This window comes from Homo sapiens, chromosome 16 (assembly GCF_000001405.40).
Source record: "Homo sapiens chromosome 16, GRCh38.p14 Primary Assembly".
NCBI lineage: Eukaryota > Metazoa > Chordata > Mammalia > Primates > Hominidae > Homo > Homo sapiens.
The window spans coordinates 71,807,801-71,821,133 of record NC_000016.10 but is presented as its reverse complement, the minus strand read 5'-3'; the positions used below and the strand labels follow the sequence as shown (position 1 = coordinate 71,821,133).

At 46.8% G+C, this 13,333-nt stretch overlaps 1 protein-coding gene and 1 long non-coding RNA gene across 3 annotated transcripts in view, besides 5 other annotated features; one reads left to right on the top strand and one right to left on the bottom strand.

The window, feature by feature from the left end:
• On the bottom strand, positions 2,776-12,176 carry LOC124903714 (uncharacterized). The gene is made up of 2 exons (XR_007065110.1): positions 11,932-12,176; positions 2,776-3,072 (listed from the first exon to the last, which is right to left on the bottom strand). It is a non-coding gene; the product is annotated as an uncharacterized LOC124903714 (long non-coding RNA).
• Positions 2,787-2,836: an enhancer, noted in NCBI's record as "active region_11079". NCBI's record gives its function as "activates an Ori minimal core promoter by ATAC-STARR-seq in GM12878 lymphoblastoid cells {active_cell/tissue: GM12878}" and the evidence as "EXISTENCE:reporter gene assay evidence [ECO:0000049][PMID:35858748]".
• Positions 11,249-11,328: an enhancer, noted in NCBI's record as "active region_11078". NCBI's record gives its function as "activates an Ori minimal core promoter by ATAC-STARR-seq in GM12878 lymphoblastoid cells {active_cell/tissue: GM12878}" and the evidence as "EXISTENCE:reporter gene assay evidence [ECO:0000049][PMID:35858748]".
• Positions 11,889-12,578: an enhancer, noted in NCBI's record as "active region_11077". NCBI's record gives its function as "activates an Ori minimal core promoter by ATAC-STARR-seq in GM12878 lymphoblastoid cells {active_cell/tissue: GM12878}" and the evidence as "EXISTENCE:reporter gene assay evidence [ECO:0000049][PMID:35858748]".
• Positions 11,889-13,169: a biological region, named in NCBI's record as "H3K27ac hESC enhancer GRCh37_chr16:71841868-71842515".
• The window catches only part of AP1G1 (adaptor related protein complex 1 subunit gamma 1), a 79,835-nt gene continuing 78,801 nt past the window's right edge, over positions 12,300-13,333 (top strand). For both annotated transcript variants that reach the window (NM_001128.6, NM_001030007.2), the window contains exon 1: positions 12,300-12,371. The gene's annotated coding sequence lies outside the window, so the exon portion shown is untranslated. The remainder of the gene's footprint in view (positions 12,372-13,333) is intronic.
• Positions 12,522-13,169: an enhancer, noted in NCBI's record as "H3K27ac hESC enhancer chr16:71841868-71842515 (GRCh37/hg19 assembly coordinates)". NCBI's record gives its function as "activates a minimal SCP1, AML or CMV promoter by ChIP-STARR-seq in primed H9 embryonic stem cells {active_cell/tissue: H9 hESC(primed)}" and the evidence as "EXISTENCE:reporter gene assay evidence [ECO:0000049][PMID:30033119]".

Genomic DNA, 13,333 nt, shown 5'->3' with positions numbered 1-13,333 from the left:
TAGAGAATGCTGGTAGAAGTTGGAGTTGTTTAGTATTCACTGAAGATATATATATATATATATATATATATATATATATATATATATATTTTTTTTTTTTTTTTTTTTTTTTTTTTTTTGAGATGGAGTCTTGCTCTGTTGCCCAGGCTGGAGTGCAGTGGCGTGATCTCAGCTCACTGCAACATCCACCTCCCAGGTTCAAGCGATTCTCCTACCTCAGCCTCCCAAGTAGCTGGGATTACAGTTGTGTGCCACAACCCCCGGGTATTTTTTGTATTTTTAGTAGAAACGTGGTTTCGCCATGTTGGCCAGGCTGGTCTGAACTCTTGGCTTCAAGTGACCCTCCCACATTGGCTTCTCAAATTGCTGGGATTACAGGTGTGAGCCACCACACCTGGCCTCATTGAAGATATTTGAGTTGTTATAAGACTATTTATTTTGTCCAAGTACTGTTTCTCACGCCTATAATCCCAGCACTTTGGGAGGTCAAGGAGAGATAATTGCTTGAGTCCAGGAGTTCATGACCAGCCTGGGCAACATGGTGAGACCCCATCTCTATAAAAGAATTAAAAAACAAAAATAGCTGGGCATGGTGGTGCACGCCTGTATTCCTAGCTACTTCGGAGGCTAACGTGGGAGGATGGCTTGATCCCAGGAGGTTGAAGCTGCAGTGAGCCATGATTATGACATTGCATTCCCGTCTGGGCAATGAAGTGAAACTCCCTTTCAAGAAAAAAAGAAAAGAAAAAATAAATAATATATATAAATTTCTTTAGCACTTAGTATGTGCGCAACAAATATTAGTTTCCATTATTTCTTATCTTCTAGTGGACTAAATGTTAGTGATTCTGTGAGACTGGAGAGGCTAGAAAAGAAGGCCAAAATATTATTATTTTTTGGTTTCTTGCGTAACTAGCTTTTGTTTGTTTTTATTTTTTATTTTTTGAGACAGGGTCTTACTCTGTCGCCCAGGCTGGAGTACAGTGGCTTGATCACTGCTCACTGCAGTCTTTACCTCCCCCAGCTCAGGTGATCCTCCCATCTCAGCCTCCTGAGTAGCTGGGACTACAGGCAGGCATCAACACACCTGGTTAATTTCCTCCCTCCCTCCCTTCCTTCCTTCTTTCCTTCCTTCCTCTCTCTCTCTCTCTCTCTCTCTCTCTCTCTCTCTCTCTGTCTTTCTTTCTTCCTTTCGAGATGGAATCTCGCTCTGTCGCCCAGGCTGGAGTGCAGTGGCACTATCTCGGCTCACTGCAACTTCTGACTCCCAGATTCAGGAGATTCTCCTGCCTCAGCCTCCCAAGTAGCTGGGACTACAGGTGCATGCCAACACGCCTGGCTAATTTTTTGTATTTTTAGTAGAGACGGGGTTTCACCGTGTTAGCCAGGATGGTCTCAATCTTCTGACCTCGTGATCTGCCCTCCTCAGCCTCCCAAAGTGATGGATTACAGGCGTGAGCCACTGCATCTGGACTTTTTTTTTTTTTTTTTTGAGACGGAGTTTCACTCTTGTTGCCCAGGCTGGAGTGTAATGGCACGATCTCTGCTCACTGCAGCCTCTGCCTCCCGAGTTCAACCGATTCTCCTGCCTCAGCCTCCCGAGTAACTGGGATTACAGGCATGCACCACCACGCCTGGCTAATTTTTGTATTTTTAGTAGAGACAGGGTTTCACCATGTTGGCCAGGCTGGTCTCGAACTCCTGACCTCAGGTGATCTGCCCACCTCAGCCTCCCAAAGTGCTGGGATTACAGGCATAAGCCACCACGCCTGGCTTCTTTAGTATTTTTTGTAGAGACAGGGTTTCGCCATGTTGCCCAGGCTGGTCTTGAACTCCTGGACTCAAGCAATCCTCCCACCTCAGCCTCCCGAAGTGTTAGGATTATTGGCATGAGCCACCACACCTGGCCCATTTTTCCTTTTTCTTTTTCTTTTTTTTTTTGAGACGGAGTCTCCCTCTGTACCCCAGGCTGGAGTGCAATGGTGCGCGATCTCCGCTCACTGCAAGTTCCGCCTCCCGGGTTCACACCATTCTCCTGCCTCAGCCTCCCGAGTAGCTGGGACTACAGGCACCCGCCACCACGCCCGGCTAATTTTTTTTTTGCATTTTTAGTGGAGACGGGGTTTCACCGTGTTAGCCAGGATGGTGTTGATCTCCTGACCTTGTGATCCACCCGCCTTGGCCTCCCAAAGTGCTGGGATTAGGGGTATGAGCCACCGCGCCCGGCCCCATTTTTCTTTTCAATATACTTTATTTTTAAGTTTCGTTTTAGGCTCATACCCAAAAGCCAAATTAATTTTTAGATGTAATTATTGGTTATGCAAAATTTTTGGTTCAGAATTCTCTTTTACATATCCGGGGGAGTTTACATTCCTCCTTTTGCATATGAGAAGGTGATACCTATAAACCAATGACTCTTTAAAAACCCGGTTTGGGGCCGGGCGCGGTGGCTCACGCCTGTAATCCCAGCATTTTGGGAGGCCATGGCGGGCGGATCAGGAGGACAGGAGTTGGAGACCAGCCTGACCAACATGGTGAAACCCTGTCTCTACTAAAAATACAAAAAAATTAGCCAGGCGTGGTGGCACGCGCCTGTAATCCCAGCTACTCAGGAGGCTGAGACAGGAGAATAGCTTGAACCCGGGAGGCAGAGGTTGCAGTGAGCCGAGATTGCAACACTGCACTCCAGCCTGTGTGCCAGAGCGAGACTCCATCTCAAAAAAAAAAAAAAAAAAAAAAAAAAATCAGTTTCATTTTGAATGCTTCATTCTAAGATTTTCCACTCCTCATAAAAGACAAGTTTATTTAAAGAATATGGAGTTAGAGAGAAGATCTTTAGGTCCAGGGCCAGCGACCCGCTTGCATAGCAAACTGCTTGCCTCTCCTTAGAAGTAAGACACCTCACTCTTGGCACATACTTGGGTCCTAGACCATCAGCTGGCATGTGTGGACGGCTTGGCGAAGGAGTTTGTTGTTCCCTGAGTTGGCCTCCAGGGACTGGCTGCCCCAGTTACTGCAGATGTCTTAACACTTCTTGGACGTCCCAGGCTAATTTTAAAGCAACTCATAGAACTGATTTTGGAAGAACAAGTATGAGACTTTGCAATGAAAGGAAAACAAAACAATTTACTATAGATTTTTCTAGACAAATGACGGTGCCCACATTTATACATATTTTCGAGATGAGGTTTCACTATGCTGTCCTAGCTGGTCTCAAACTCCTGGGCTCAAGGGTTTTTCCTGCCTCATCCTCCTGAGTAGCTGGTACTACATGTATGAGCCACTGCTCCTGGCTTAATGGTGTCCATATTAAGGAAATAAAATTACTTGAGTAGAAAACAATGGGTCAGAAATCCTGCTTTGTTTCTAGATGGTGCATTCTCTTCTAGTGACCTTAATTTTGTCATTCCTAACAGGAGAATGGCACCATTTCCTCAATTTGGAATTTAAGTTGATTGCAGTCTCATACCTGGTAAAGTTTTTCCCTCCAAAAGTGCCAAAATAATACAGAATAATTTACAAGTCAAGAAAAACTACTCTAAGAAAAAGAAAATATTGTAACATAAAGCATCTCAGGTGGCACTTTGGGCTGCCTCTTTTTTTTTTTTTTTTTTTTTTTGAGATGGAGTCTCACTCTATTGCCCAGGCTGGAGTGCAGTGGTACAGTCTCGGCTCACTGCAACCTCCACCTCCCGGTTTCAGGTGATTATCCTGGCTCAGCCTCCCAAGTAGCTGGGATTACCGGTGCCTGCAACCACGCCTGGCTAATTTTTGTATTTTTAGAAGAGACAGGGTTTCGCCATGTGGGCCAGGCTGGTCTTGAACTCCTGACCTCAGGTGATCCACCTGCCTTGGCTTCCCAAAGTGCTGGATTACAGACACGAGCCACCGCGCCCGGCCTAGGGCTGCCTCTTTAAAAAAAAAAAATTCTGAAACAAAGAAGAAGGTTGGCAGAAGCTAATGTCCTCCGGGCTTTGGTCTTTACTCTTCTACATATAGCAGAATTCCTAATGCTCTTGGTAAGAGGTCAAAGAGTGTATGGAGTTGGCTGTTGGAATTTTAATTTTTACATCCTTTCTGGCTTTTGTCATAAGTTAAAGATGAATTCCTAAACTCTTGTCTCAGGCCAGCATACATCGTGATTAGGGACTGTGCTTTAAAAGAATTGTGAAAATGCTTTTTGTGAAAACATTACAGAAACAGCAGACAGACTAATTTCTCTCTGTCTTTCAGTCTTATTTATAGATTCGTGTGACTCAAAGGATAACAAAACAGGCCAGTGGAGCCGCCTCTTTGACTCACGTCATTGTATTTCTTACACGGCTGTGCCCCTCTTCACTCTCCTTTCTCGGCTGAGATCTCTGGCACGTGGAGAGGCAGGAAGGGTTCTTTGTGAAAGATGCTAACTGCATTTCTTCAGAGAGAGCTTTCCCCATCTGCTCTAAAGGTCACATGGGCTTCAGCTGCTGATACTGACCGAATCATTTAAGAAACTCACTGTGCCGGATGAGGTGGCTCAAGTCTGTAATCCTAGCACTTTGGGAGGCTGAGGTGGGAGGATCACGAGGTCAGGAGTTCGAGACCAGCCTGGCCAACATGATGAAACCCCATCTCTACTAAAAATACAAAAATTAGCTGGGTGCAGTGGCATACCCCTGTAGTCCTAGCTACTCAGGAGGCTGAGGCAGGAGAATCACTTGAATCCAGGAGGTGGAGGTTGCAGTCAGCCGAGATTGTGTCACTGCACTCCAGCCTGGGCAACATAGCGAGACCCTTTTTTTTTTGTCTCCAAAAAAAAAAAAAAAAAAAAAGAAAGAAAGAAACTCACTGCATCCTAAGCCCAAACAAGACAGTTCCCCTCTAGTACCCCAGATTCCACCAGATACTATGTATTCCAAAAGCCATCTTTCACTGCTCTAGCTCCCAGCAACCTCTCCTTCTTCTGCTCCTTCTGAACTAGAACTTCAGCGACCTCTCCGTTTTCTTCTCTTTCTGAACTAGGACTTATCTGCTGAATGATATCACTGGCTTATTTTATATTTTTGGATTTTTAAAAAATCTCGTTTTCCTCAATGAGATTGTAATTATCTGAAGGATAGGGGCAGTCTCTTTTGTTATGTCTATTACAGATTCTGGTGCACCCAGGACAGTGTGGCATAGGGGAAATAATCAGGTAGCCTGTTTGAATGATTACTATATGGGCTAGAAGACAAATCCAGAGATGGAAGGACTACATTTGAGTCTGGCCTCTACTGTATGAAAGTGTGACCGATCATTTAATCTCTCTGAGCCTCTCCTCCCCTCCCCTCCTCCTTTTGTTTCTCTCTCTCTCTCACTCTTTCTTTTTTTAATATATTTTTTGAGACAGAGTCCTATTCTGCCACTCAGACTGGAGTGCAGTGGTGCAATCATTGCTCACTGCAGCCTTACCTTTCTGGTGTCAAAAAATCCTGCCTTAGCCTTCTGAGTAGCTGGGACTACAGGCACATGCCATGATGTCCAACTAATTAATTTTTTTTTTTTTGAGACAGCATCTCACTTTGTCACCTAGGATGGAATGCAGTGGCGCGATCTTGGCTCACTGCAACCTCTGTCTCATGGGTTCAAGCAATTCTCCTGCCTCAGCCTCCTGAGTAGCTGGGATTACTGGTGCGTGCCACCATGCCCGGCTAATTTTTGTGTTTTTAGTAGAGACAAGGTTTCACCATGTTGGCCAGGCTGGTCTCGAACTCCTGACCTCAAGTGATCCACCCACCTTGGCCTCCCAAAGTGCTGGGATTACAGGCATGAGCCACTGCGCCCAGCCTGAAAATACTTTTGTAAATGTAAGACACACTGTACTACTGTTACTTATAAAGGGCAGTCAGTAAATGCTTTAGTTGAATGATGAGGCGGCACAAAAATTTCAGTATTTACATTCTTATGATGCTTCAGGCTTTTCAAAGTGCTTTCATGTAGCTGATCCCTTTTGCATAACAAGCCACTCTAAATCCATTTTGGAACAGGCAAGACAAATAAATATTGGAAAGCTGAGTAAACAGGCTCAGAGATGTTTAACACCTTGCTCTGGGCAAAAAATGAATTAAACCTAGCCAAGACTGGCATCTAAGTGGTCTGTCTGCTAGCCAATGTTTCTTCAGTTTTATTTTTTGTTGTTGTTCTTTGTTAAATTGTTGTTATTATTATTATTTACTTATTTATTTTCGAGATGGAGTCTTGCTCTATCGCCCAGGCTGGAGTGCAGTGGCGCGATCTTGGCTAACTGCGACTTCTGTGATTTTCAAGTGATTTTCCTGCCTCAGCCTCCCGAGTAGCTGGGATTACAGGTGTACGCCACCATGCCTGGCTAATTTTTGTATTTTTAGTAGAGATGGGGTTTTGCCATGTTGGGAAGGCTGGTTTTGAACTCCTGACCTCAGGTGATCTGCCTGCCTCAGCCTCCCAAAGTAATCATGTTGGGATTACAGGTGTGAGCCACCGTGCCCGGCCTATTCATTGTTAAATTGAAGCAGTCCTCGGTAGTAAACAAAACCATAAAAATAATAATCTTTGGCCAAGCACAGTGGCTCATGCCTGTAATTCCAGCACTTGGGGAGGGTGAGGTGGGAGGATCACTTGAGCCCAAGAATTCCAGACCAGCTTGGCTAACATAGCAAAACCCCGTCTCTACAAAAAAAAAAAAAAAATTAGCTGGGTATGGTGGTATGCACCTGTAGTCCCGGCTGAGGTGGGAGGATCACTTGAGCTCGGGAAGTCGAGGCTGCAGTGAGCTGTGATTGTGCCACTGCACCCCAGCCTGGGCAACAGAGCAACACCTTGTCTCAAAAAAAAAAAAACCAAAATTTTTTTCCTAGTTATTATCTCTTACTAAGTTTGTTTAACACTTTCAGGATATTGTTGTTTTAAAAACAAAAATTGGCCAGGCACGGTAATACCAGCACTTTAGGAGGTGAAGGTGGGCAGATCACCTGAGGTCAGGAGTTCCAGACCAGCCTGGCCAACATGGTGAAACCCCATCTCTACTAAAAATACACAAATTAGCTGAGTGTGGTGGCAGGCACCTGTAATCCCAGCTACTCGAGAGGCTGAGGCATGACAATCTCTTGAACCTGGCAGGCAGAGGTTGCAGTGAGCTGAGATCACGCCACTGTACTCCAGCCTGGGCAACAGAGCAAGACTCTGTCTCAAAATAATAAATAAATAAAATAAAAACAAAAATCCATAAAACTGCATTTTCTTATAAGAATTTTCTTTTTAACTAAAAGAATGGTGTGCTCGTTGCAAAAACAAAATATAATATAATATAATAAAGTAAAAATTATCTGTAATCCCATCATCCAAAAAAGCCATTTTTTTGTTGTTGTTTGTTTTGTTTAAGACGGAGTCTCGCTCTGTCCCCCAGGCTGGAGTGCAGTGGTGCAATCTCTGCTCACTGCAAGCTCCGCCTCCTGGGTTCACACCATTCTCGTGCCTCAGCCTCCCGAGTAGCTGGGACTACAGGCGCCCACCACCACACCCGGCTAATTTTTTGTATTTTTAGTAGAGACGGGGTTGCACCATGTTAGCCAGGATGGTCTTGATCTCCTGACCTCATGATCTGCCTGCCTTGGCCTCCCAAAGTGCTGGGATTACAGGTGTGAGCCACTGCGCCCGGCCCAAAAAAGCCATTTTTAAATTTTAGTTTTGTCCTTCAATTTTTTTCTATGCATGTAAGTTATCAGTAGTAAACAAACCCATAAAAATAATAATCTTTGGCCAATGGCAGTGCCTCACGCCTGTAATTCCAGCACTTTGGGAGGGCAAAGTGGGAGGATCGCATGAGCCCATGAGTTCCAGACCAGCTTGGGTAACATGGCAAAACCGTGTCTCTACAAAAAATTTTTAAAAAAATTAGGCGGGCATGGTGGTATGCACCTGTAGTCCCAGCTACTCAGGAGCCTGAGGTGGCTCAATATACACTTTGCAAGCTCATTTTATAACATTGTTTTATAATATTTCCTTTTAAAGTCTGCCATACTATAATAATAAGGTTTTCATTTTATTGGTAGCATAGTATTACCTTTTATAGATGTGCTGTAATTTATTTATCTGGAATTAGGGATTATGTTTGAGAAGATGGGGAGTAAGCCTTTCTAAACTTAAATCACTAGCCATGGAAACCAAAGATTCCAAGATAATGTGACTATGCTACATATTGGGGCAATTGCTTTTATTTATTTATTTTATTCATTTATTTAAAAGATGAGGAGGCCGGGCATGGTGGCTCATGCCTGTAATCTCAGCCCTTTGGGAGGCCGAGGCAGGTGGATCACCTGAAGCCAGGAGTTCGAGACCAGCCTGGCCAACATGGAGAAACCCTGTCTCTACTAAAATATACAAAATTAGCTGGGCGTGGTGGCGCATGCCTGTAATCCCAGCTACTCAGGAGGCTGAGGCAGGAGAATTGCTTGAACCCGGGAGGTGGAGGCTGCAGTGAGCCGAGATTGTGCCATTGCACTCCAGCCTGGGCAACAAGAGTGAAACTCCGTGAAAGAAAGAAAGAAAGAAAGAGGGGCGGGGAGGGGGGAGGAAGGGAGGAAGGAAGGAAGGAAGAAAGATAGGGTCTCACTATGTTACCTGGGCTGTTCTCAAACTCCTTGGATCAAGTGATCCTCCCACCTTGGCCCCCCGAAGTGCTAGGATTACAGGTGTGAGCCACTGTGCCCAGCTGGGGCAACTGCTTTTAATTTTAGTTGCATGGAAGAAGGGTTTGGTAATTATAAATAAAGATAAATGGCCTGGGCGCGGTGGCTCACGTCTGTAATCCCAGCACTTTGGGAGGCTGAGGCGGGCAGATCATAAGGTCAAGAGATCAAGACCAGCCTGGCCAACATGATGAAACCCCGTCTGTACTAAAAATACAAAAATTAGCCGGATGTAGTGGCACGTGCCTGTAGTCCCAGCTACTCGGGAGGCTGAGGCAGGAGAACCACTTGAACTCGGGAGGTGGAGGTTGCAGCAAGCTGAGATCATGCCACTGCACTCCGGCCTGGCGACAGAGACTCTGTCTCAAAAACAAAAACAAAATAAAGAGAAATGTAAGTTAAAAAGTACTGAGAAAGGGTTTAGTTTTTAATGTTTAAAACTCTTTAACGCTCTGCACTCGATATGGTAGGAAAAAAGATCTTTCCGGGGCCGGGAGCGGTGGCTCACGCCTGTAATCCCAGTACTTTGGGAGGCCAAGGCGGGCGGATCACGAGGTCAGGAGATCAAGACCATCCTGGCTAACATGTGAAACCTCGTCTCTACTAAAAACACAAAAAACTAGCCAGGTGTGGTGGCGGGCGCCTGTAGTCCCAGCTGCTCTGGAGGCTGAGGCAGCAGAATGGCGTGAACTCAGGAGGCGGAGTTTGCAGTGAGTTGAGATCGTGCCACTGCACTCCAGCCTGGGGACAGAGTGAGACTCCGTCTCAAAAAAAAAAAAAGCTCTCTCCTCCTTAGGTAGCTGGCTTAATTTTTCTTTTGTGGTTCACAATGATACACATTTAAATTTGACCTCTAAGCATTTTTTTGTGGTGTTCCAAACGGAATACTTTAGCTAACTCTGCTTTGCAACCTGCAAACTTCTTACTTATGTGGAAACCCCAAACTAAGTTTGGCCTGTGTTCCCTGCATAGCTATACCTCAGAGGAAATTGTGTTTTGGCTTCATTCCACTATTTACTAGCCTTGTAGTCCATGGTTGCACTGTACAGTAGCAGCATGGCAGAGGATCTGAATTCTGTAAACATTCTGTTCTCTAAACCACTTGTTGGGGGTTGACTCCATCCACCCTGAGAGTGTAGGTATGTGTGTAGGTAGGTAGGTAGGTAGGTGGGTGGGTAGGTAGGGGTGGTGGAAGATTGTGGTACCCTATGCTAATTTATAAAATGGCACTCTGGCCTGGCATGGTGGCTCATGCCTGTAATCCCAGCACTTTGGGAGGCCGAGGTGGGTGAATCACCTGAGGTCAGGAGTTCGAGACCAGCTTGGGTAACATGGTGAAACCCCGTTTCTACTAAAAATACAAAAAATTAGCTGGGCGTGGTGGCATGCGCCTGTAGTCCCAGCTACTTGGGAGACTGAGGCAGGACAATCACTTGAACCTGGGAGGCGGAGGCTGCAGTGAGCCAAGATCACGCCATTGCACTCCAGCTCGGGCAACAAGAGTGAAACTCTGTCTCAAAAAAAAAGGCACTCTATAGCTCTGTAGCAGAACCCCAGTGGAGGAGGGGAGAGGATGTGTCTTTTAGCCAAGTTAGTTTCTTGGAGCCTCTTTTTCCTTATTTGTAAAACTAAGTTACTTATGCTTGCCTAGCCTGACTCAGGAGGTTGTCCAGAGGGTCAGATTAGATTATACACATGAAAGTGCCTTATGAACAATGTGATATCAATATTTAATAATACAAATGATAATTATTATCGCACCCATGGCCTCCTTTCTTTCCAGCCACTTGGCATGCCCCAGTAGTTCAGGGACAAAATTGTACAGATGGGCCTACTTGGTTCAATTTTTTTTTGTTTTTGTGAGACAGGGTCTCACTCTGTCGCCCAGACTCGGCTATCTGCAACCTCTGCCTCCCAGGTTCAAGCGATTCTCCTGTCTCAGCCTTCCGAGTAGCTGGGATTACAGGTGCCCACCACCATGCCCGGCTAATTTTGTATTTTTAGTGGAGATGGAGTTTCACCATGTTGGCCAGTCTGGTCTCGAACTCCTGACCTCAGGTGATCCGCCCACCCCGGCCTCCTAAAGTACTGGGATTACATGCGTCAGCCACTGTGCCCGGCCTACTTAGAGCAATTTTTGTTAAGTGTTTTGAAATCCCTGCATGAAAATGACTAAGGAAAAAAGTGCAACCTTCTCTCTATGACACCCAAATCCTAAACTCAAGATTTGTGGTTAGTTCTGGCCAGGCCGGTGGCTCACACCTGTCATCTCCACACTTTGGGAGGCCGACGCAGGCAGATCACCTGAGGTCAGGAGTTCAAGACCAGCCTGGCCAACATGGCGAAACCCTCTCTCTACTAAAAATGCAAATATTAGACGGCCGTGGTGGCGGGAGCCTGTAATCCCAGCTACTTGCGAGGCTGAAGCACGAGAAATTGCTTGACCCCGGGAGGCAAGGTTGTAGTGAGCCGGGATCCCGCCACTGCACTCCAGCCTGGGCAACAGAGCGAGACTTTGTCTCAAAAAAAAAAAAAAAATTTTTTTTGTGTGGTTGGTTCTGTTCTCTTTGGCACCCAGCCTGCTGCTGTGTTGTATTGTACTTTGTTGCCAATCTAGCAGAAGGATTTTAGTCTAGGTAGGTCACCTTTCCTTTAAACAGGCCAAGATATCAGGCCCTCTTTACATTCACATGGAAAAGACTCACGTCATATGTTAGTAATTATTTATCAGGTTAGGAACTGTCTGGTTAGACTTTCTTTGGCCCTGGTTATTAATTCATGGAGTCATAGACCGAAAGCCCATTCTGTAAGGGTTTCAGCTAACATGAGTCCAAGTCTTCTTTCTACATATGAGGAAATTGAATCCCTGGAGAGTTTAAGTGACTTGAGCAGTGCAAGCACCGCGGTACCGGGCGTGGAATCCATTCTTTTCAGTCATCCTCTTAACTCTTCATAAAATATGTTGCAAAGACACCATAAAACCATAGAATACCACCTGGAGCATGCTCCTTAAGTTATAAAGAAAGCAAAAATCTTAAAGGAGACAGCAAAGAGTTCGGGATTCCCGTGGACGAAGACCTTTTCAGCCCTGCTGTCTTCTCCGCCCCCACCTGTCTCGCTTGCTCTCACTTCCTGGGCTACCTGACTTAGCTCCGCCCCCTCCAGGTGGCTCCACCGCTTCCTGGTAGCCCAGCTCCACCCCCCCTACCCCCCCACCCCCCTACCCCCCACCCCCCTACCCCCTCACCAAGCGGAACCAATGTCCGTCCGCTACGGGGTAGGCCGGATCTTTCTCGCTCAGACTCATCGCAGCGGTGACTCGGCAGCAGCGTCTCGCGTCATCAGTGACAGCCCCGATCCTTGCTACGTTTGCGTCGCTCTGCCAGGAGCAGTCGCCTCCTCCTTGGCAAATAGTCCTCGGCAGGGTCCGAGTTCTTGGATAATTCGAGAGAAAAGGCACGATAAGTTGCAGTACGAGGACACGGAAACGACCAGGAGAGGAGGACAGGGAGCGAAGTTTCCTCAATAGTGTGTGAAGTTAGTTAAAAACTCCCTCCTTCCTCAGGATCCCTCCGCCTGCGGTAGCGGTGGTGAGGCCGAGGGAGCCGCCATTTTGGATGTTCGGTTCCTGCTGCCACTGCTGCCGCCGCCCCCGGAGCTGCTGGTTTCATTCGAGGTTTCGGGCCGGTGAGTGTCACTCCCGGCGCTGAGAGCATATTGCTGCTTTTGCCCCGCCGCTGCCGCGGGCGCTCGACCGGAAGCTTCCTTTCAGTTTCAGGGGTCCAGTCCCAGGCTGTGGGTGTTGAGAAGAGAAGACAGAGAAGCTGGGCCAGGAGAGGCCGGGAGCCCCAGGGGCTGCTCCGACTTCTGGAGGGCCGACCCCGAGGCCTCGGACCGGGAGGTTCCGCGCGCCGCGGCGTTCCGTGTTGTGGCGTTGCCCCGCCGGTACGGGCCTCCTTGAACCCTTGACTTTCTCAGGCTGCGATCTTTGAGGGCTCATTCAGGGAGCCTGGGGTTTAGCGGGGCGGGCCCCACCCCCGCGTGTCTTCTCTGAGCCACGTATCAGCGTTCTTGTGTCTTGTACCCGTGTCAGGTCTGTCAGATAACTCCCAGCATATCCAAATGCCCAGTTAATCGCTGCCTGCCCCTGCAGTGCCGTCCTCTCGGAACCGGACATCGGCCTCGCCTCTCTCTAACCTTCCGACCAACTTCTTTCCCAATTTTTCGTGTGTGTGTGTATATGTTGTTGTTTTGTTTTTTTCAACCTACCTGCGAGTATACTGTTTACCCTTTTCTCAGCTCCTGGCCCTGCGGACGTCAGCGTCTAATAATTCTCCCGGTCTTCCTGATTGCCTGAAAGAGTCGGGACGGTTCGGTTGATTGTGTTTCCCGGTTAGGACTCGGTGTAGGAGATCCATCGAACCACTCGCTCAGGGTAATGTTTATGAAGCAGATTATGTTTATGAAGCAGATTAAATGGCTTTTGGGAGGCAAGAGCTGTCAAATGTTTTCTCATATGTGGATTCCCTCCCTGTGCTGAATACTTAGCTTTTTGGTGCTTACTGACACTTGTGTGGTATTTTTTTTTCTCCCCTATTATATATCCCTGAGCACGGAAATCTGTCCATGGAGAAAAATATTAATCTGAG